The sequence below is a fragment of the Homo sapiens genome, chromosome 6 (assembly GCF_000001405.40).
Source record: "Homo sapiens chromosome 6, GRCh38.p14 Primary Assembly".
Lineage (NCBI taxonomy): Eukaryota > Metazoa > Chordata > Mammalia > Primates > Hominidae > Homo > Homo sapiens.
Window position 1 is genome coordinate 166,451,548 of NC_000006.12, and position 23,211 is coordinate 166,474,758.

At 49.0% G+C, this 23,211-nt stretch overlaps 1 protein-coding gene and 1 long non-coding RNA gene across 10 annotated transcripts in view, besides 2 other annotated features; both read right to left on the reverse strand.

Moving 5' to 3' along the window:
* Positions 1-23,211, reverse strand: part of RPS6KA2 (ribosomal protein S6 kinase A2) — a 453,410-nt gene that overhangs the window by 42,184 nt on the left and 388,015 nt on the right. For all 9 annotated transcript variants that reach the window (XM_047419235.1, NM_001318937.2, NM_001006932.3 and 6 more), the window contains 2 exons: positions 18,294-18,358; positions 7,902-8,004 (listed from right to left, as the gene is read on the reverse strand). In XM_047419235.1, coding sequence (XP_047275191.1) covers positions 7,902-8,004; positions 18,294-18,358 — 168 coding nt within the window. The remainder of the gene's footprint in view (positions 1-7,901; positions 8,005-18,293; positions 18,359-23,211) is intronic.
* Positions 9,116-13,836, reverse strand: RPS6KA2-IT1 (RPS6KA2 intronic transcript 1). Its single transcript, NR_046793.1, has 4 exons — positions 13,778-13,836; positions 11,773-11,960; positions 11,439-11,594; positions 9,116-9,291 (listed from the first exon to the last, which is right to left on the reverse strand). It is a non-coding gene; the product is annotated as an RPS6KA2 intronic transcript 1 (long non-coding RNA).
* Positions 17,976-18,879: an enhancer, noted in NCBI's record as "H3K4me1 hESC enhancer chr6:166883011-166883914 (GRCh37/hg19 assembly coordinates)". NCBI's record gives its function as "activates a minimal SCP1, AML or CMV promoter by ChIP-STARR-seq in naive H9 embryonic stem cells {active_cell/tissue: H9 hESC(naive)}" and the evidence as "EXISTENCE:reporter gene assay evidence [ECO:0000049][PMID:30033119]".
* Positions 18,880-19,783: an enhancer, noted in NCBI's record as "H3K4me1 hESC enhancer chr6:166883915-166884818 (GRCh37/hg19 assembly coordinates)". NCBI's record gives its function as "activates a minimal SCP1, AML or CMV promoter by ChIP-STARR-seq in primed H9 embryonic stem cells {active_cell/tissue: H9 hESC(primed)}" and the evidence as "EXISTENCE:reporter gene assay evidence [ECO:0000049][PMID:30033119]".

Sequence of the window (23,211 nt, forward strand, 5' to 3'; positions counted from 1 at the left end):
TATTCTTGACCACACTCCTCCACCCCTACCCACTCCAGACTCAGTTAAGAAGGCACCAATGACCTCAGGATGGAATTGTCAGTGAACATGAATCCTGTATCCTTAGCTTCTGGTCTCTAGGTTCGACAGGTCCCACCCCTGTGCCCACAGCTGCATAACTGCATGTGTGCTGTGCACGTGCTCTGCTCTCCAAGGACATTTGGGCAACGTTTCTCCTGTCCACAGCAAGGCATAGTACGAAAGGAGTAATTCCCTTCCATTAAGATTTTTCTGATCTCTGTAAGATCTGTGTTCAAAAGCATGACTGCTGTGAGATTGATCCCATTTCAAGTTTATCATTAAGAAAAACAAAAGGATAAATCCCTCGTGGGGAAAAAAAATCTGCATCATACATAACAGATGAGAGGTTAAACTCTCTATTGCCCGAAAGCTCCCAGAGATCAATGAGAAAAGAGCAAAATACTCAAAGGAAGGAATTCTGATAGCTACCATAGGCATGAAAAGATGCCCAATCTCTCTAAGGAGTAAGCATACACATATTTAAATAGGACAACACTTTTGTCTAATGAACTAACAAAAATGAAAGAAATCAATCACATCTGGGTTTGGCTGGGGGTGGACACTTATAATTGTAGGAGGGAGCATAACTGGCATAATCTTCTGGAAAGTCAACTGGCAACATTTAAAGCCAACTTTAAAATTTCAAAATTAAAAATTTTGAAAGTAATTCTACAGAATTACTTTCAAAAGTGCACAGTAATAACAAATTGTAGATGACGCAAACAAATGGAAAAACATCACATGCTCATGAATCAGAAGAATTAATATCATCAAAATGAACATATCACCCAAAGCAATCTACAGATTCAATGCAATCTCTATCAAAAAACCAACGTCATTTTTCACAGAATTAGAAAAAACAATCCTAAAGTTAACATGGAACCAACAAAGAGCCTGAATAGCCAAAGCAATTTTAAGCAAAAGGAACAAAGCTAGAACTAGAAGCATCACATTACCTGACTTCAATTATATCACAAGGAGATAGTAACTAAAATAGCATGGTACTGGTATAAACATAGACACACAGATTAACGGAACAGAATAGAAAACCCAGAAATAAAGCCACATGCAAAGTCAACAAAAACTTTGTGGGGAAAAGACACTCTTTTCAATAAATGATACCGGGAAAATTAGTTCGTCATAAGCAAAAGAATGAAACTGGACCCCTATGTCTCACCATATACAAAAATCAACTAAGAGATTAAAGACTTAAGTGATGAAAGACCTGAAACAATGAAAATACTAGAATAAATCCTAGAGAAAACTCTTTAGGACATGGGTCTAGCGAAAGACTTCGAAAGTCTTTTAAGGGCTGGGTGCAGTGGCTCACACCTGTAATCCCAGCACTTTGGGAGGCTGAGGCAGGTGGATCACTAGGTCAGGAGTTCGAGACCAGTCTGGCCAACATAGTGAAACCCTGTCTCTACTAAAAATACAAAAAAAATTAGCCAGGTGTGGTGGTGTACGCCTGTAATCCCAGCTGCTTGGGAGGCTGAGGCAGGAGAATTGCATGAACCCGGGAGGCGGAGGTTGCAGTGAGCCAAGATGGCGTCACTGCACTCCAGCCTGGGCGACAGAGTGAGACTCCATCACACACACACACACACACACACACACACACACAAAAAGGCTTTAAGACCAGCATAAGAAATCATCAACAGAATGAACAGACAACCTGCAGAATGGGAGAACATATTTGCAAACTATGCAACTGACAGGGGAGTAATATCTAGAATTTACAAGGAACTCGAACAACTCAACAACAACAACAAAACAAATAACCCCATTAAAAATTGACCAGAGGACATAAGTAGACATTTTTCAAAAGAAGACATACAGATGGCCAAACAGCATATAAAAAATGCTCAAGATCGCTAATCATCAGATAAATACAAATGAAAACCACAATGAGATATCACCTTACATCAGTCAGAATGGCTATTACTAAAAAGTCAAAAAAATAACAGATGTTGGTGAGGATGTGGAGAAAGGTGGTGGGAATGTAAATTAGTACAACCTCCATGAAAAACAGTACGGAAATTTCTCAAAGAACTAAATGGAACTATATTCGATGCAGCAATCCCACTGCTGGGCATTGCCCAAAGGAAAAGAAATCGTTGTCTCAAAAAGATACCCGCACTTGGAAGCTTACTGCAGCACTATTCACAATTGCAAAGTCATGGAATCAACCTAAGTGTCCATCAACAGGTGATTGGGTAAACAAAATGTGGTACATATACGCAATGGAATACTATTTAGTCATAAAAAAGAATGAAATCATGTCTTTTGCAGCAACATGGATGGAAAAGAAGGCCATTATTTTAAGTGAAACAACTCACACGTGGAAAGTCAAACATCGCATGTTCTCACTCATAAGTGGGTGCTAAATTGCTAAATAATGTCTGCATGTGGATGTCGAGTGTGGTGGGATAGAGAATGGAGACGTGGAAGGGTGGGAGAAGGTGAGGGATGAGAAATTACTTAATGGGTAAAATGAACACTCCTCAGGTGATGGTTACACTAAAAGACCAGCCCTCACCACTATGTACTCTACCCATGAACAAAACTACATCTGTACCTCTGAAATTTACAGAAATAAAAAATAAAACAGGCTGGGCGCGGTGGATCACACCTGTAATCTCAGCACTTTGGGAGGCTGAGGTGGGCAGATCACGAGGTCAGGAGTTCACGACCAGCCTAACCAACATGGTGAAGCCCTGTCTCTATTAAAAATACAAAAATTAGCCAGGCGGGGTGGCGCACGCCTGTAATCCCAGCTACTCAGGAGGCTGAGGCAGGAGAATCGCTTGAACCTGGGAGGTGGAGGTTGCAGTGAGCCAAGATCGCACCACTGCACTCTAGCCTGGGTGACAGAGCGAGACTCTGTCTCAAACAAAACAAAACAAAAAAACAAGCAAACGAAAAAATCCCAAAGTACTTAGACATAAATGTAGAAAAAGTCTGTTTCAGTGATATGTGTTACAGAAAAGAAAAAGGAGACACTAAATACTCCTCACTAAGACAATCATGGTCATGGTCAACAGTGGCCCATCTGTATCAGGATGCTTTGTAATGATTGCAGTGTGAGTCCTGCCAGCGAGACCAGGGCCATCAGAAGGAGCCACAGTTGCATGGACTGACAGAGACGTGGCTTCCTAATCGTTTGTCAAATCAAAAAAGCAAAAAGCTGTTGAACAATATGAAGAACCCAGACATTACTTAAAAAATTAAATATATTTTAATATATTTAAAAACAGAATAGGATAATAGATTAATATATTAAAATAGAATATATATTACACTAAAATAGAATACTATAATACATTATATAATATGTAAATTTATAATATATGAAAATATAATACGTAATTTTTCCTGAAAACACACATATGTACAAATTTAAACATTCTTATTTATATATCTTTTAAGACTCCCTGTATGTATAGTTGTGTGCATATTTGTATATTCGAGAATTCTCTACCCGCAGGCCTTTGTCTCTCAGCACTTCTTCCCCCCCTCGTCTGTTTAGGTGCTGTACTTTGAAAGGAAGAAAGTGCACCTAGTTCTCAGTTTTATCTCCACACGGTGCGGCAGGTGTGTGGGGGTGGGAGGCAGCTGCAGAGAACACGTGTTTTGTTTCTTAGCATCATATTTTGGGGACAACGGTTATGAGGGCAGCCGCTCCGAAGCCCAGGAGCCGGGCCCCACGCCGCGTGGGCCTCTGGTGCAAGCGGGGGCCAGGCCGTGGGCAGATGGACGACGCAGCGTCCCACTGGTGCTCTTCCTGGGGTAGGAAGCGTCATGGACCCGGGCTCATCTTCAGTGTCCTGAACCAAGAGGCAGCTAGAGCCAGGTGTCGGCCCTCAAAGGGGCCAAAAAAGGGGCCTTCACAGTCACCCCAGGTAGATGCCCACGCGACCCCTGGACTAATGTGACCAGAGTCGGCTGTGTTTGGAAATAAACTTCCAACGCTCCAGACTAGCGAAGCGTCGTTAAAAAACCGAAGGTACCCTGAGTGGTTTTTAGAAACTGAAATTCTGCAGCGCGACCCGGCAGAGAAGCTCGGGGCTTTCTGAGCGGCTCTGCTTCGCGGCACACGGAGCCGCTCGAGGAGGAGGCGCTCCTGCTACACCCGGTTTGCTCTCTGCACAAAGTCTGGCTTTGAGGTCTGCCTCCTCCCAAAGATCCCCTGAGCTACCACGGGCCGCAGATTCTCCCCCGGAAAAATGAAACACACATGGCTACATCATGGTTTAAGAAATCTTCAAACCTGGAGGCACTTTGATGTCTTCCCTTAGGGATTTAGACTCAGAGCTTGAGCTTATTCTGGGGAATCCGCAGAGCCACACGAGTGTGAAGTGCTGAGCAAGGATTGGGAGTCCAATTTACAGCCTGTGGAGGAGTGTGTGCGGGGGTGGGGGCACAGGCCATGTTAACTTGACAGACACAGTTTCATTGGTGAATGGAAAATCTGTAATTCCAATAAGCAATGTCTTCTAACCAACCAAGAGGCACGGAAGACACAGCCACAACCTTCCGTGGCCAGAGAACCCATGCCTCTCCTCACACAGACCAAGGAGAGCCTGCGGAAAGGGTAAAAGTAACAGCAATTTACCGAAGGCCAAGTGGATCTTCACCAAAAGTTAAGAGGCTGACATTTGGTCGGTGTGGCTAGCTAGTAAGGAAATGACAGGTGGCCTAAATAGAATTTAAAGCACTTTATAATCACCTGAGGGATGCCGATTTTCAGCACAGTATTTAAGAAGAGCAAAATTGTGAGTCAGATAAAAGGAGATGTAGAACTACAGTAATTACAAACAACCTCTCATGGTCCTGTGGGTATTTCCTGATTTGTGGAGTCTGCCTGATCGGTTTAAAATCTTAGATTGGCATCTCGGGCTAAGCAGCATGCTCTAGGGGGCAGCCAAGGTGTGATCAGGGAATAGAAACCAGCTTGAGCGCTGGCTGAAGTTTCAGAAAAGACTGAAAGCCTAACTGTAAGAAATTCCCACTGTGAGTCCAGGATCTAACATAGAGGATTTGTAGCTTATCCATTGCTTCAGAGTCACATTTCTACAGCTGCTCATTCACCCAGCCATGTGCTCAGCTCACATGCTTAGAAAATCCTACTCTCCTGTACAAATCAGAATGAGTTTAATGTGTCTTTAGCACTTCAATTACTACCTACCTCAAAGGCAAACAGTGGTGTGATAAATTAACTGAAACTGATTGGAGAACTGGAAACACTAAGGAATAAAAAAGGCAATTCTGAATAGCACTGGAGTGCATTGTGTCTAATTATGTTTTCCTTAGGCTATTATTAAAATACAATGGAATTCTCTAGAAGCTCAAAAAAAGCTTCCGGTTCCACTGGCCAACTAGGTTGGGGTTTAAATTCTTCACAGATAAGATAAAAGGCATGTCCATATGAATATTAGAGTTGACTGTATTAACATTTTCTTACCAAGCAGCACAAACATAGACTTTCTTTCCACATTTTAAACACACAGCCCCACATGTTGGCACCTCACGAGGATGTGTGCACGTTCTGTTAGGGACCTTATGGTCCTTGTGGACTTAGGGACAACGATCTCGTGGTCAGACCTAATTGCCTCTGAGCTCCTTTTACATTCAGGCCAACAATAGGTGGAGAAATATCATGACTTGCTTGGGTGACCTGTGGGCAGGGGCAGGAGGGAATCCCCAAATCCTGCCCCATCTTTTCAAACTCAGAAACTGAAAAGTAATCCTGTTCTGTGAATTGGGTTAAGTTTGTCAATGGGAAGGACCAACCCCAACACACAAATACTTTCTAAGGAAGCTGAGAATGGGGTGAGGTGAAAATCCCACAGTCACTTACCGGAGAGAGCAGACCCAGAAGTGTTCTCCAAGGCAGCCTCATTACATCATGAATCAGTGATGAACCAAAGCTATAATGATAGTTTTAATTCTACCTGGGGACTGCAGGATGACCCAAAAGAAGTAACTGAGCAGCCGGTGGCATGACTCCCTGGTTTACAGTGCCCGGAATCAGCTTTCTTCCTGTTCTTGGTACCAATGTGGCCTGGGTCAGGAGCTGGCCTAGGCCCATCAAAAGTCCCGCTAAAAGCCCCGCAACCCTCCCTATCTGCACACGCTCACACCCTCCTCAATGTGTTCATCTGGGTATATGGGAAACAGGGATTTCACCAACAGCTGAATCTGGAGGAACAAAGTGGATTCTCTAACTTCATCTACCTGACATTTTGTGGTTGACCATATATTTGTTTCCCGATTATCTTTTAAAAAATAAGAAAATTTCAGATTCAAAAGCAGCGAGAAAAAATACAGTGAATCCCCGTAGATCCAAGATGCAGCCTGGCCAACCACCAGCTCCCTGGACTTGTCCCACTTATGTCTACAGAAGGAGCTTGTGGATGGTTTTGTACATAACCAGCATACTGTTAGTGTTGTGGACTGAATTATGTCCTTCCCAAATTCAAATGTTAAGGCCCTACCCCCAAGTGTAACTGTATTTGGAGACAGGGCCTTGATATGGTTCAGCTTTGTGTCCCCACCCAAATCTCAGGCTCTGTGTCCCTACCCAAATCTCATCTTGGAGCCCTCATAATTCCCATGTGTTGTAGGAGGGACCTGGTGGGAGATGACTGAATTATGGGGGTGGGTCTTTCCTGTGCTGTTCTCATGATGGTCAATGAGTCTCATGAGATCTGAGAGTTTTAAAAAGGGGAGTTTCCCTGCACAAGCTCTCTCTTTGTTGCCATCCACGTAAGATGGGGCTTGCTTCTACTTGCCTTCTGCCACGATTGTGAGGCTTCCTCAGCCATGTGGAACTGTAAATTCACTAAACTTCTTTCTTTTGAAAAATTGCCCAGTCTCAGGTATGTCTTTATCAGCAGTGTGAAAACAGACTAATACAGGCCTTTAAGAGAATAACTGAAGTTAAGTGAGGATAAAAGTGTGGGGCCCTAATCCAAGAGGACTAGTGTCCTTATAAGAAGACAGAGAGACACCAGAGCTCCATCTTGCTGTCTTTGCACACACAGAAGAAAGGCCACGTGGGGACACAGCAAGAACACAGCTGTCTGCAAGTCAAGGCGAGAGCTCTCACCAGGAACCAACCCTGTCAGTACCTTGAACTTGGACTTCCAGCCTCCAGACTGTGAGAAAATAAATGACTGTTGTTTAAACCACACAGTCTGTAGTATTTTGTTATGATAGCCCTATCAGACCAGGATAATTACCATATATAAAAAAGCAGACTTTAATTCATTAATATCCCAAAAAGATAACTTTTAAAGGGAGCTGACCAGTTCTGATGAAATTTGCTAGACCCCAAGAGTAATTTCAGACACACCAGGAGACCAAATCTATGCATCCAATTGCTGTGCTATTTAGTAGCCGATACTACTTTTCAAATGGGTTTCTGTTTTTTGCATGAATAATATCTATAGCTCATAAATCTATAGACATAACTGACAGCCTTCCCTCTCCGTAAATGCACTTTAATTGAAAGAGGGATTTTAATTGCCTCCAGTTTCTTTTCTTGCTCTTGCTGTGTGTCTCTCTGACACAGGAAGTAACTGGACCGGTGTCTTGGAATAAGGATACCTTCATCATTTCCAAGGTGGAGGTTATATAGGGAACAACAGAGAACTGGGGCTATCACTTAAACCTTTATCACTGAGCAGAGAAAACAACAACAAAAAACCCAAACAGAATGGACAGTTATTTTCCATGAAAAGAATTCTGAGGCATGGGAATTTCTTGTTCCTAGATATCTGTCTCTAAGGGGTCAGGTGGGAGAAGCCACCGATAGAGGGAACCACTGTGGCACACACCTGTGGGCGTCCGCGCTGTGAACTCGGGGTCAAAGTGGAAGGTGTCCTCAGGCCTGCCCACTGCTGGTTTGAACGGTGGCTTGATCTCCTTCCGGTACAGCGTCTATTAATACAAGGAAAGCAAGACAGGGCACTGAGGATGCACAGACATTGCCACAGAACACTGGGGACAGAGAAACCTGCTGTGGGGAGGGAAGGATGTTCTTATCACAGACTGCATTGGCCTTGTGGATTACAAGGGATTTCTAAATACTCTGAAATATAGATGGCATAAAATATATTATGTGTAGTATGATAGATACTATGGCATATATAATAACGATGTATTATAGAAAGGTATAGAAAAGGCATAGTTTGAGGTATGAGGGTTTGGGGACATGCCAAGTGTTCTTCATTTTAGGGCAATAGTTTTCTAGCTTCTTCTTGGTAGTAGAATCTTCTTTTCCAAGTAAAATCATACAGGACAGCCACCACTTGCCCCCACTGGGGACAGCAGTGAAGAGGCCGTGTGGCTCTCTCCTCCCTGCCCTGGGACTTTGGGGCCAGCACCACGGAACTTCAGCTCTGCGGGGCACTGCAAAAACCGCCGACCCAGAGCCACCCCAGGGTGCTCTCTTGCCAGTGTCTCAGGGCCTGTGCTCTGGGGCCTTGGCACCTCTGCCAGAAACCTGCCTTGGGTGTCAGAATGAGGGCGCCCAGGCTCCTCGACAGGAGGACGCCTGCATCTGCAGAGAACCGGCCCTTCCCATGCCCCCTCTGGGCCCAAACTTATTTCCCCAACAGGACCTTGGACAGAAGGCACAGAAAGTCCACAGCCCTCTGTGCTCCGGTCTCAGAGCTGCCTGCCTGACAATGCTTTCCAAAGCTGAGATGTGTTGTTTTCAATCCTCTAGGGCAACAAGGCATTCTGTTGGGAATTCAATGTAAAGAAAGCACACACAGGTACCTGGAACCTGGCGTAGTCCTCAGGCGGGTGATGCTGCAGGTGGTGCTTAGATGGAGGGAGCCGGGGGAGCCCAGTGCTGAGAGAAGTGTGGAGGGGGAGGGGCACTGGAGGGAGGACTGGGGCCTGAGGCCTGACTGGAAGGCCGAGGGACCTCCGGGCAGATTCAGTAGAGGATGCTGGGTTTAGTCAAATCACCCTGACGACAGAAGGCACGGGCCATGCCAGTGTGCTGAGGGGCCAGCCTGGTAGTTAGCAGGGCAGCAGCAGGGCAGGGCCAGGCTGGGGTCTTGCCCCCCACTGAGCATGGGGTTTCCTTAATCCTGCCTAGGGAGGGTCCCCACGGTGTTCGCAGAAAACATCCAGCCTGGAGTCCTGTCCTGGGCACTTGTGTGTGACCATCTAGAGCTCAGTTCTGGACTCAGGGACCCTCATGGCCGTGCAGCTCTGGAAAATGGACACAGTGACTCCAGCTAAAACCTGTTCTACATCTCTGGAAAGCAAATTTCAACACCTCCTCCGATGAGGCCCGACGGGAAGGGAGAGGAGGGAGGAGGGCGTCTGACATCTGGGTCCCACCTGGGGCACACCCTGCTCTGCTTATCCGGGAGCACCTGGGTCAGAGCCCAGGCCAGAAACCAGGGCCCACAGCTACTGCAGGAGGGCGAGGTGCCAACAGACGCCCCCGAGCTCCCCCGGGGGCTTATCAGGCAGCAGGATGTGCCCTGATGTGCAAGAGCTCAGGGCGTGCACGCGGGAACCATCGGAGGAGAAACAGGATTGAATTCAGCCCTGAATTATTTGCTCATTTCCTGCCTTGGGGGCATAGATTTCATTAGCACCGAGTTACTCTTCAAGCCATTTTCAGAAATGAAAAGACGCTGCTTTCTGCAGTGAGGCACAGGACAGGTGGGAATAATCTCCCCAGACACATGTGCTTGCCTGAGGAAGTCTCCTGAGCTGGGAAGCCCAGGCCATCGGGTGCCACGAACAGGCCAGTGCAGCCCATTCCCCACCCAGAGAGTCCTGAGAGCCGGGCTATTAAGAATCCTGCTGAAGTCAAAATCACATCCTCCCTCTGTGTGAGAGCAAGCGAGGGAGAGAGGTGGAGAGAGAGAGAGAGAGAGATGGGGAGAGATGGGGAGAGAGGGGGTGGGGGGAGAAAGAGACGGAGGGGAGGAGGGGAGAAATGGGGGAGGGGGAGGGGAAGGGGGTAAGAAAGAGAGAGAGCACGCACTAGCTCGATCCAGCACAGAGCCAGGCCTCCTACTTTTATTATGAGGAGGAATTTATTTACACAAGAGATTTCCATTAAAAACAAAATAAAATACAAAACTGGTTGTCACGTATTCATTCCAGTGTGAAGTGTTTACCTCCGGAAAGCAGGGGCCCACATGGCCCCTCTAGCTCCTCTCCTCCGTGCCAGCTCTTCCTCCATCATCCTGGGGACCCATCTTGCCCACCCCTGCCCCTGCCCCACCACAGCCTCTGATAAAACCATCCCCAGAGCCTGGTGCCCAGTGCTTCTTCATAGAGGGGTTTTGCCCCCACTGGGACATTTGGCAGTGCCCAAAGACACTGCTGGCTGCCACACCTGTGTGACCGCTGCAGGCTCCCAAGGGGTGGAGGCCAGGGTGTGCAGAACCCAGCCACCCATAACAGCCCCACCACACAGCATCGCGCAGGTGCCACCCAGGGTGAAGGTGGGAGACCCTGGCCCTGCCTGCTTCCTTCTCTACCTCACCCTTCCTGCCTTGTTTCTGCTCCAACCCTCAAAAGTGCAACGTCAACCAGCTTCTTCAAGAAGGAGGACTGGATGTTGAGGCGACTGGCCACTGTCCTTGGAACCCCTTCCCCTCCCCATGGAACCCCCGGTGGGGCAGGGCTGCAGGCTCTGCCTGGCTTCCTACAGGCCACATCCTTCTCCCTCCTCGTCCACCGATGGGGCAGGCACCACAGCCTCGCTTCACAGCTGTCCAGGAAAGCACAGGCTCTATCTGTGACCACCCTGCCTCTGGAGGCTCACATCCAGAGGCTGTCACCTTCCTGCCTTCTAAGTCAGATTCACAGCCCAGCACTGGTACTGCTGTGACCTCCTCTGGGCTGAGGCCATCCCACTCCTTTAATACTAAGTATCTGCTGCTAAGTCAGGTCCCGGTTCCCTCCAGCCCAGGACACTGCGCCTGGGGGCTGGGCTCAGACTTCCCCTGTGCTCTGCCCCATCTGTGCCTAGCCCGGTGCTGCGAGTCACCTGGGATGCCCAGTGAGGAGGTCCTAAGCCCAGGTAGTCCCGTAGCACTTTTGTACCACACAAATAGCTCCCCCTCACACGGCAGCAGGAGGAAGCCCGCCTCTGCTTTCCCCGTGCTTTCCACCCCTCGGCTGTGAGCCCAGGCTTTCAGCTCACAGACCCCAACAAGACCAGAGGGAGGCATGCGTGTGAGAGTGGACGGAGCGCTTGCTGAGGGCCAGGGCCTTCCTTCTGTGCCGCGGGAGCCTTCAGGCAACTGGCCACCCCGTAACATGGGTCCGTGTGCCAACCGCAGCTATGAACACAGCCTGTTCACTGGGGCCTGCAGACCACCATGCCCCACCTGCTGGAGGCTGCTGCGTTCTCACTCTGGTCTGGGCCAGGCAGTGAGGTTCTGTGCGGGCCGCCGGTGGCCAACTGGAGCCGGTCACTCTGGCCCTTTGGACGGCTTCCTCGAGGCTTGCTGCAATCTTAAAGGCCGGTCAATGTCTTCCTGATGCTGCGTAAACATTTGGAAGGTGCTAATATGTGTTATTACTGTGTATGCTTTTTCTTTCCATGTGCAAACCTAAGAACGGGTTTGAGGCTTTGGGGGAGAAGTCATCCGGCCTCTTGCTTTGTATGTAAACCACTGTAGGCAGGGTTGTGTTGAGAGTGAAACAGCAGCAGCATCTCACCTGGGATTCTGAGCTTAACGAGACAGACACTGGCAATTCTGCCCTGGATCCCCCCTTTCTGAGACTCTGGGACAATTCATGCCGAAACCGACGAGAGAAAATGCAGTCTCATGATCAAATTCGCCAGGCACATTTAAAATCATCTCATTTGTCCCAGGATGTCAGAATGACACAGTGTGGCCGCAGGGCTGAAACGAATTTCACGGGAAACAAGCGCACGTGAGGAAGCCCGGAGCAGGCCCATCAGGATTCTATTTATACTAAAGACCTTCAGCTAAGTGAGAAGAGGACCGAGACAGCAACAGAAAAACGGGAACTGGGTGATGACATAGGAAACAGATGCTAGTTTGGGGTCTCAGACCCTAACATCTGCCTTCTGTAGACGGTTTTGGCTTCAGGCATTTTGGAATTAATACGCTCCAATAAGGCAAAGGGCACATTTATAGATTATTCCTAAAATAATAATGCAAAAATATGCAGACCAGAGAGAAGACAGGATCGAAAGCGCCGCAGGAAGAATCTAAACGATTTTCAAAGCGTCACGATGGGTGTGACAGGTCAGTGGCTCATGGAGCGGGACTGTGCCTGCAGTTTACCCGGCTGTAGGTGGGTCCAACAGAAGAAGCACCTGAAGGGTGATGATTCATTGCACAGAGTCCTTGCTGGGTTCCCTGAAGGGGGAGTGCTCCTAGTGTATATAATGTAGGAATAAAAGGATAGAAATCTCGCTGCTGGCAATGGGAGCAACAGCTGCATGGAGACGCCTGTGCTGTGAGGCCCTGACCCGCAGCCTACAGCTCCCACACCCCCAAACCACTCTCTGCGCCATACTGCAAATACTCCACTTGTGGGCAAGAAGACCAAAGTGGCCTGAAGACCCGGAACCCACCCTCTGCTCCTGCCAGGACACACAACAGCCAAGTTCAGGGCACACCCCACGCGCTGCCAGATCACCGAGCGACCTCAAGCTTCTCATTGTCCTGTGCCTCAGTCTCCTCTACAAGTTTCTCCCATCTCACAGCATCACAGCTAATGGTGTGCTTGGAAGGGTTTCAAACTGTACAAAGAACATAAACATGAGCTACTAGTATTGATCATGAATAACGAATAACAGTAATAATAAGAGTCAGTGCAATACTAAGGGTCTAGGCCCTGGACAGAGTTCCAGAAACAAAGATGTCCCTCCCTGGTGACTGTGTGTCTCCAGCATCATCATTCACTGCCTGTAATAATATTTGCAGTTCCCTGGGTCCCCCTGCAAGGGACGCCAGGCTGGGCTGGGAGCCGTCCTCAGACTGGCTTGTGCTGTCTGCAGTGATTAACTTTTACGAAGCTTTTTTTGGGTTCGTGCTAATTCTGTGTTCTCAGCATGCTTCAGCCACGGGGGAAAAACCAACACAGCTTCTATCTGCTGGACTCTGCCGTATCCTCTGCAGAGGTTTGTAGTCCGATCATTAACTCGTGGCTTCTCACTCAGCTCATCAAGCAGAGCTGGCCTTCAGAAGGAATGGCTCCCGTGCAGACGTTCACTCGCTCATCTCTGAAGCTAAATTAAAAGGCAGCAGCCCACACCTCCACCGTCCCCACACTTACTGTCAGCAGATGGGTCCTGCTCCAGCAGGCCACTGAAGACCCCGGGGACAGCAGTGGGATGACAGGTGTTTACTTAAAAAAATAAATAAATAAATAAATAAATAAAAAGATCTGCTGGCAGTATCGGATCACAGAGAGCAGCAGAAAGCAAAATAAATATCCTAATATTTTCCCAGTTGGATCCTGAGGCAAGCCATTGGGTGAAGTACCCAGGCAGAAATCTAGTGGTTAGGAAATGTCTTCTCATTCGTCATTAAGGAGTGTCTGCATTGCAGAGGGAACGGCTTTTGGTGTTAACAGTTCTTGCAAATGAGGCTGAACTGTGGTTTTCAGTTTTCTGAGCTGCCGAAAAGCAGAATGGGCACATCTGGACAAATACATCACGGAGTAAAATTACCCCTTAAATAAATACCTTTAAACATCTTGCATTTTAGCCCCTGCTTTCTGAAGAATGGGTTGATGGCTTGCCTGGATGTGTTATTGGGGTTTGAGGTTAGCCATGAAGACACATGGGCTGCTACTGGGGCCGCAGACACAGGAGAACACACGGGCAAACTTGACTCATGAGAGAGGATCAGCTGAGATGGGGGGACCACTGGACTCATCCTAGCAAGATGTTGACAGCTTCTAAGACCATCACGGAGCGGGACTGTGCCTGCAGTTTACGCGGTGTCCTGAACACGGTGTTTTCATGCCTACACATCTTTGCTGGAAGCATCCTTCTTCTCCTCCTTCTGCCCCTCTGCTGGTTAATTCCACTCGCCCTCTTTCAGGCATCATTTCTCTCTCTTTCTGCTGGCCACTTTCACTGTGCACAAACCTCTTCCATCGGTGGATGATGGCGTTATGGGACAGCAGACTCCTCAGTCTGTGAGCAGCTGGAGGACGGGGCTCTGCGTTCCAGCTGTGACGTCATGGACATGGACACTTTGCTGGTGCACCACCAGGGTGAGCACCAAGCGTTATTTATCAAATGCATGAATTAATGCAAAAGTGGCATTTCTGAGCTCTTCTGCCACTCACGGGCTGTGTGGGTTCAGGGCGCTGGGCAGAACAAGAGCCTGCCATTCCTCTAGCACTGCTGCCTGCCTTCCTCTGGGAAGTACAGACATGAAGGAAACACGCCTGGTTCTGATCAATCACAAGGACCTCTCTCAAAACGAAAACAAGGCCAAAATAAAATCAAATTAAGTGCTAAGAGCAACAAAAGGAACTTCTCAGCTCTGATTCTAGTCTGATTCCTTTGAAATCACGCAGAAATGCCACCTTCTTGGGTTGTGTTTGCTTTCCAGCCACAGGGAGACCAGAGCACCCTGAGCAGAGGCGCTGTGTAGAGAAGGCTCTTATTGCCACAGGAAAAAGGCGGCTTCTGCTCAGAGCTCGCCGGACCTCAGCATTCTGGAATGCACATTAATCTAATGTGTCATAGTTTTCCAAATCCATCGTATTGTTAAAATTCCAGGCATCTCACAAGGTTGTCTTAGCAAGTGCGTAAGCCCTTCTGGGCCATGCATACTTTGGAGTGGCTCCACTCTTGGCTGAGTGCTCTGTGTTGCACTGTGTCACCTGGGGGTTCGGTGTGAAGAGACTTCTCTTTCCTACCAGCTGCAGCCCTCAGGGTCTCCCATCCCAGGATGCTGCCCTGCCCACCTGCAGCTCCCCCTCCCAGCCCAGCAATCCTGGTTCTCCATTCTCCCAGGCATGGTCTCTGGAGGAAGGACTAGAGTGTGAGAGTGAGGAAATGGAGGGGGCAAGTCTCCCTCGACAGCTGTGACTCCTGTCTTGAGAGTCTCACTCATTCATTCACTGATTCATTCACTGACTTACTGACTCATTCACTCACTTATTCACTGATTCACTGACTCATTCACTTATTCATTTGCTCGTTCACTCACTCCCTCATTCACTCACTCCCTCACTCACTCATTCACTAACTCACTCACTGACTCCCTTACTCATTCACTCACTCACTCATTCACTCACTCCCTCATTCACTCATTCCTTCACTCACTCCCTCACTTGTTGACTCACTCATTAACTCACTCCCTTACTCATTCATGCACTCCCTCACTCATTAACTCACTCACTCCTTTACTCATTCATTCACTCATTCATTCACTTCCTCACTCATTCACTCACTCATTGACTCACTGACTCATTCACTCACTCCCTCACTCATTCACTCTCTAACTCACTCCCTCATTCACTCACTCCCTCACTCATTAACTCATTCATTCACTCACTCATTAACTCACTCACTCACTCCCTTACTCATTCACTCACTCACTCATTCATTCACTCCCTCACTCATTCACTCCCTCCTTCCCTCACTCATCCATTCACTCACTCAGTAGGGATTCATAAAGTGCCTCCTTTGAGCCAGGCCCTGTTTTAGAGCTGTGGGATACACCTCTAAGCCACAGATTCCTGATCTTGCAGCTTACATTCTAGTGGCAGGAGACAGAAAATAATAATATACATCAGAAACACATGGTATTTTGAGGCGAGTCAGAAAGTGATAAGGGATATGAAAACAGAGCAAGGCCGGGGGCTGGGGTGCTGGGAGAGGAGCTGCAGTTTGGAAGAGCCGCAGGACAGGTCTCATAAGATGACACTGAATGGCAGACTGGAAGGAGGAGACCAGTGAGCCCTTGGGAGACTTGGGCAGGAGGGGCCCTGGAAGCCAGACCAGCTGGAGCCAGTGCTTGGGGGGAACCTGTTCCATGGAGGCATGGGAAGGAGGCTCCGTGAGGATGGGAGGGGTGAGGTGTGGCTGTCCTGACCACTTTCGTGTGCTTCTCCATCTGTCCCCTGCTGCATCCTCCTTGTCAGCACAGTGTCCTCCTGTGACATGTGCAGACCCATCTGTCCACCGCCTTTCTCTGCCAAGTCATCACAAGACCCACGGGTGCAGGACTTTGTTCCATCTACGGCTCTATCCCCAGCCCTGGAAAGTGCCTGAGACTGGGACGCCCAGCAGAAAGGGCTGGATAAATGGAGAAGCAGATCATACGGGGAGAAGCTGTGTGGTCCCACCTTAACCACTGGCAGGCAGGGGAGGGGATGCAACATGCTGTGACCCCCTGAGGGGCAGGCATCTGGGTTCCAGGCACAGTGCTGTGCTAACCATCCACAGGCTGACACCCAGGTCCATTCTTCATGAAACAGGCTTGCCTGAGATCTAAACGCCGTGTAAGGTGAAGTCTCCATAGAAAATACATTCCAACGCAGAGTCGAATGACAGTGACCTTAGGTGCCCATCTGTGAGGTGAGCACAGCCTGAGCTTCTGATAAGCCTAAATTTTCAGGGAAGCTAAGTAAGAGACTCCAAAGGGAGGCCTTGGTTTTCATTTCTTGGAGGTCCTGGTTGGGAGGCACAGATGTCCTGAAACTTTACACTCTTTTCTCTAATCTTACTTTCGAAAAGAAGTCTAATCTTACGAAAGTTCTTTAGTCAGAACTGTAAAACTAGGTTTTAAAAAGTTATCACTCTTCCCCAGTTTGAGTGCTTTGCTGGGGCTCAGGCTGAAGGAAGAGGAGAGCTGGCTGGTTTTATCCAGCACTGGTGTTACACATTCCCAGAGGAGAGGTCTGGGGCTGCAGGTGGGGCCCACCTCTTAATGAAATGCGTGGAGGCCCCGGACTCCATGAGGACATAAAGAAGACAGAGGCCGGGCGCGGTGGCTCACGCCTGTAATCCCAGCACTTTGGGAGGCCAAGGTGGGTGGATCATGAGGTCAGGAGATCGAGATCATCCTGGCTAACACGGTGAAACCCTGTCTCTACTAAAAATATAAAAAAAATTAGCCGGGCGTGGTGGGGGCGCCTGTAATCCCAGCTATTCGGGAGGCTGAGGCAGGAGAATGGCGTGAATCTGGCAGGTGGAGCTTGCAGTGAGCCGAGATCGCGCCACTGCACTCCAGCCTGGGCGACAGAGCGAGACTAAAAAAAAAAAAAAAAAGAAGACAGAGAGGAAAGCGAAAGCAGATAATAAACTCTATACTGTAGAGGGCATTTAAATCTTAAAAAGTGTTCCATTAAAATCTTTTGAGGTTAATTTGTTAGGTCAGGAAAAGAAAATCCCAACATAGCTGTTTTTGTGTTAACCTAAAGGAAAGAGCTGAAAGCAACTGATAGGAAAGGAGGTATCGCCTTCCTCAGATGGAAGGAACAGCCTCCGAGTTTTAGCCGCGAGAACTCCCTGTGTGGGGGACGCGTCAGACGCTGACTGCTTCACCATTCGGAGTTGGCGTCTTGGCAGAAATAGGCAATTGACACTTGTAGCTTGGTGAAAAGTGAGATACGAGAACTTCTCAGACAATGTCCAGCCTGGCCCAGAGAACTGGAAATGGAGGCTTTACCAATAACTCCACTAACAGAAGCTCCAGTTTATTCCAACAACTCGGCACTGTTGTTTTTTTTTTTTTTTTTTAAATGTGACTTCCACGTGGGCATCAGCTTGACTAACGATGGAAAATGCAGTATCGAATCTGGGCCTGCCCATAGCCCTAGCACTAAAGGGTCCTGGTTGAGCAGCTTGTCATGACTTTTGTCTGTTCAGCCCTTGAGGTTAGAAGACAGTCACTCCTGGAGCAATCGGGAATATGCAGGGCTCGGAGAGGCCGGGGAGTGGGTGCAGGGAGGACAGAAGCCTCGACTCTGATGGGCAGAGGAGAGTAGAAGGAGGAAAGCTGAGGGGACTTCAGGCCTCAAGCTGGAGGGAGGGGCACTCACGTGTCTGTGCCTCCCAAGTTGCCAGCCCGCTCAGCAGGGTCCTGGGGGCTCCCTGCCTGCAGGTGGCTTGTCTACATTCACCTCCGACCTACTTGTGACCCGGACACTGAGGACCCTCTGCACCAAGCCGTATGTTCCCTCCACCCACTTCTGTGTCACGCGTGTGCAGGTGGGGACTGTGGCATGCAACTTACGTTCCAGTCTATGGTCACAAAGAAGGGATGGCGCTTAATTTCCTCCACTCCGTCAATGCCAGCACCTGTCAACAACACAGAAATGATCATCAGAACAAATCCAAGATGGGGTTCTCTGACAGTTTCCAATGCAGCAGTGTGGAGGGTGGGGATGTGCAGAGGTGGGGCCGTGGGAAGGAGCCCAGAGGCTGCTCACTCCTGCCCAAGGCACCTGCGCACCTGCCGATGCCCCCAGCTCAGAAAGCCACGACTCAGCCCCGAGGGCTTGTGAGGCAGAGGTGGCCTGGGGTTGGAGTGAGCAAAAGAGGTGGTCAAGAGAAGCATGGGACAGGCCAGCCAGGTGCTGCCTGCTGCATGTGACGGCTGCCTAGCACCCCACTGTCACCCCCAGGAGCTTGAGGTGCCTGTGAGTGTGAGCACCAGGTGGACCTCCCAGGAGGCCGGAGGGGAAGGTGCAGAGCAGAGTTCCTGGCAAAGCTGCTGCAGTTAACCCGGGAGGGAAGGATTCCAGGAAATGAAGAGGAGTTGACAGGACTGAGTCCCGGAGGAAGCCAGAGCCCAGCCTCCTGCCCACACCTGGCCACCCCTGAGCCTGCTCAGACAGGTGACTGTGTTTACCTGGAGGCTGCTTACAAATATCTCTGCTTTGTTCTGTTATTTCTACCTAACCTCCTCCCTTACTTTGTTGCGTACAATCCTAAGGCCCTGGGGCAGAAAGGAAGGAGGGAGGAGTAGGCGGAGCGCTGGGGGCCCTTTCAGGCAGCATGATTCCCTAACGGTGGATACATGTCCACTCATCTGCCAGAAATCGCCACTGTCCCCCCAGAACGAGCCCAGTGTGGACAAGGCCTTTAGTCAGTAGCTCAGCTCACCGACTGCAGAAGCGTGCCCATTCACGGAGGCACTACTGTTCGGGAAAGCGGTGGGGCAGGGAGTGAGGGGCCGTGGAATCTTGCTGCAGTTTCTGTTCAGTTTTTCTGTAAACTTAAAACTGTTCTGAACACAAAGTCTATTAATTAAAAACAAAAGGCCCTAAAGCTCTAGGACTCTGTGTTTTCTCCAGGATGGGACGGCCACAGAGGAGCCCATCCTCCCGGGTCACGAATCCGAGAAGAGGCGGGCTTGGCTGGAAGGGGCAGTGGCGGCGGTGGCTGGGGAATTCCTGCCAGCTCCGGGCCCAGGGCTGGGGAGGGTCTGATCCCTGGGGCCCGGCTCCCCTGTTCTGCAAGCTGTGTTCCTTTCCGCTGCCAACTCCTAACGGCTGTGCTCCAAATCAGAGCCTCCTGTGCCATGTATGCCCCTTCGTGGAGCCCCCCTCATGTCCAGCTCTCACTCCTGGAAGAGCGGGGCTGCCCGGGGATGCTGTGGTCAGCACAGGTGTGGCCCGGCCTGTCCGGCTGGAAGCTGGCCTGGAGTGGCGCAGGTCACCGGGAGTCACAGCAGATGGTGCCATCGTTGGCTGGAACTGCCCGTGTCCTGACCCCTCCCACCCCTCCATTCCGCACTCTGGGCAGTGATGTGGAGGAGGCTCGGGGGCTGTGGTGGCCTCAGAAAGCGCCTCTAGGTGGTCAACGGCTCAGAGACAGTCCCCTTACCCTGGAAGCTTGGCCAGGGCCATGGTGCTAGGAACGAACCCACATACTAAATGCCCCTGAAGGCACTCTCACAGCACTCTCAGCTTTGTGTTATTCACACTTTGACGTGAAAGTCCATCTAGAAGGAATTAGAGGAAGGGCACACATTCAGGAGTTTCTCCTTCCATGAGGACGCAGAATCATAGGACAGACATAGCACACGGACATCTCAGTCATCCGATGCACAATTGCTGTTCCCATTTTACAGACGAGGACACTGAGGCTGACACAGGTTGGGTAGCTTGTTCAAAATCAGACCAGAGGTTATGAGTTACAGGTACTGGGTTTGGAGGCACATGTCTGAAAAGCAGCTGAGGTGCCCCACCTTCTGAAGTGTCTTTCCCGAGGACTCCCTGCTGAGGCCCCTCCGGGTCCCCAGTCTAGCTCCCTTGTTCTCCTCTAAACCCTGAGCCCAGGGATCTGATCCCAGGCCTTTGCAATCGCAGCAGCTGGCATGAGCCTTCGCAGGCGCACCAGTGGCTGCTGTAATGAAATTTCCAGAGCGACAGTCTGACTTCCAAACAGCCCTCCCCAAGCGCCCATCCTGTGTGCAGGCCTCCTTTGATGATGACCAGAACTCTGGGTTGAAGAGTCCTTCTGGTCACGATGATTAACAGAAAGACCCTCCTCTGAAGTGTGCCTCTCCTCTACTCTTTTGTTTGGTGACTGTTGGACGCATGGCCAGAGGCACTCTCAAAAGGCTGGAGATTGGAACAAACAGTTCAGAGGCCCTGGTACACGCACAGGTGTGGCAACTTGTTGGCTGTACTTCTTTGGAGGATCTATTTCACATTTTGTACCCACTGTATTTCCTTCTTGTTCATCATTTGCAAATATGGTCTGCAGGAATTTTAGAAAGTGAGAGGCAGAGGAAATACAGGTATTGGTATAACTACTATGTAACTGGTATATGCTGGGTTTACCTGGATCACTGCAATCAACACATTTCTATCTTTACCTCCTTTCCCCTAAGGTAGTAAGATTTTGCACCATGTTTGTATTTTAAGCCCTCAGCAAAAAGAGTCAACAGGGGAATAACACTTTGGTTATCACTAAAAAATTACAGGGGTTCCAATTACAGGGGGAAACATGAAACAGGAGGAGGACTTTTGCACTCAGCACCTTGAAACCTGTGTCAACCCTCCCAGGGCAGTCAGGTTTATTATTCTTGTTAAAATAGGTGACTTTGCACTCGGCTCCCCCTTTTTATCTCCACTGAACCCACTGGACAAATGACGGTGAGTGGAGTTCTGGGCGGGGAGAATCGGAAGGTATCAGGCTGATGCTGGAATCACGGCTGGCTCGCTACGGGATGCGGATGACACGCACTGAAGGCCTTCCTTGGTTCTAGAGGACTGCTGCCACTCATCTAGATCATGAAGCACTGACAAGAACAGGGACAGAAACTGTGAGCACAGAAGGCCGGAATTCCCTCCTGTCAGGCTTAGCAATTTGTCGTTAAGTTCCTTAATGCAGGGCAAATAGGAGTTCAAGGTTCAGGGGAACAGAAGATTCAAGAATCACACTTCTTCTCGGTAGTAATAACACCTGATCCTGTTTGTTTAAATGGCTTGTGGTCTATCTCCAAATTGGGGCGTCACCTAATGTGTTTATCTGGGTCTGTGTCTCCAATTGCTGTTCTCTGGTTAAGGGTATAATTTTGCAACCAGTTGGAACTCTCATATCAATGACTAAAGTGCAGTGCAGTGCCTGTGAATGGATTTTTTTTTTTATTTTGGGGGGATTCATTCTGTCGCCCAGGCTGGTATGCAGTGGCATGATCGTGACTCACTGCAGCCTCGATTTCCTGGGCTCAGGTGATCCTCCCAGCTCAGTCTCCTGAGTAGCTGGGACTACAGGCATGTGCCACTACACCTGGCTAATATTTTGTATTTTTTGTAGAGATGGGGTCTCACCATGTTGCCCAGGCTGGTGTCAAACTCTTGGGCTCAAGTGATCTGCCTGCCTGGGTCTCCCAAAGTGCTGGGATTATAGGCAGGAGCCACTGCACGGATGATTTATTCTTTCATTGCACCGATTCTGTCCAGCTCTTCTACTCCATATTTTTCACGAGGTAAGCCATTCATTTCATTGTGGGGATTCTAAATTCTCAGCAGGTGATTCCCAAAGGGTTTTGGTATCTGCCAAAAATGTGTGCATTGTGTCTGTATATCCACAGATAGCTTTAGGAGATGGTTAATTCATGGTTTGGGACTCCTTTGCAATATTTTCATTTTTGTTGTTTGAGAGTCACACAAACCCATCTCCGACACTTCTGGGAACATTCAGTAGAATCTTACTGGCTGCCTCCTTAGGTTTCTTACATACTGCAAGCTTCTCCTAACCAGCCCACCATGTCCAGCCTATAACCATCCAGGGCAACTTCCATCATTGACTTAAATACTAGGTCTGCTTTTTCAATTTCTTCATCACTTAAAGGTTATCTACACATTATTTGTTTAAAGGTTTTTTTTTTTTTTTTTTTGGCCAATTTGAAATTTCATCTATTTCATGTTTACACCCTTTGTCAGGGAGTCGCTCGTGTCCCACAGGACTCAGCCGGTTAGGAGTCAGGGATGGGCTAGGGGCTCAGGCTTGAGCGGTGTGGGAGTCAGATCTGCAGACAGGCCCTGGGCATGGGTCTCTAGCGGCTCCCTAGGGCTGGTTGTGAGGGTGGGGCTGCCTGGTCTTCAGCAACCATCAAAGCCTGGCTTATGACAGGCAGTCCCAGCAATGCCAGTAGAAACTGGGATGAGGATCAGAATGGACCACGTTTGAAGTCATTAAAAACACATCATCTGGAGATCAGTTCTGGACAGGAAAACAGTAACAAGAGCAACGGAAAACCTCTGCCCGTGCGTCAGCCACAGGCAGCAGGTGTGCTGTGAAGACAGCACGCCTGGCTTAGGTGATGGGCGTTGATTTGCTGTGCTATTTTTGTGCTCATCAGCACATCGAATTCCTTTCTAACCTTTCCCTCACTTTAAACTTCCCCCTGGGAGTCTCAGAATATCTCATGAGTTTCTAGGAGAAGCTACAGATGCTCATTAGGAATGAGCTAGAAAGCTGTCAGCTTTGGAAAAAAGGAAGATTTGGAGGTAGGCTTAGGAAGTTTTATACTCACTGCAAACTCCTGTCCTGGGGGGGAAGTCGGGAGATAACAAATAACAAACACTGGTGCTGAAAACCCCAGCAGTTCCTGATCTCAGTGCAGGATACATTTACAGCTGTTTCTAGACATCACTATGGTATAAACTTCCATCAGAAATGGAACTCACTTAAGT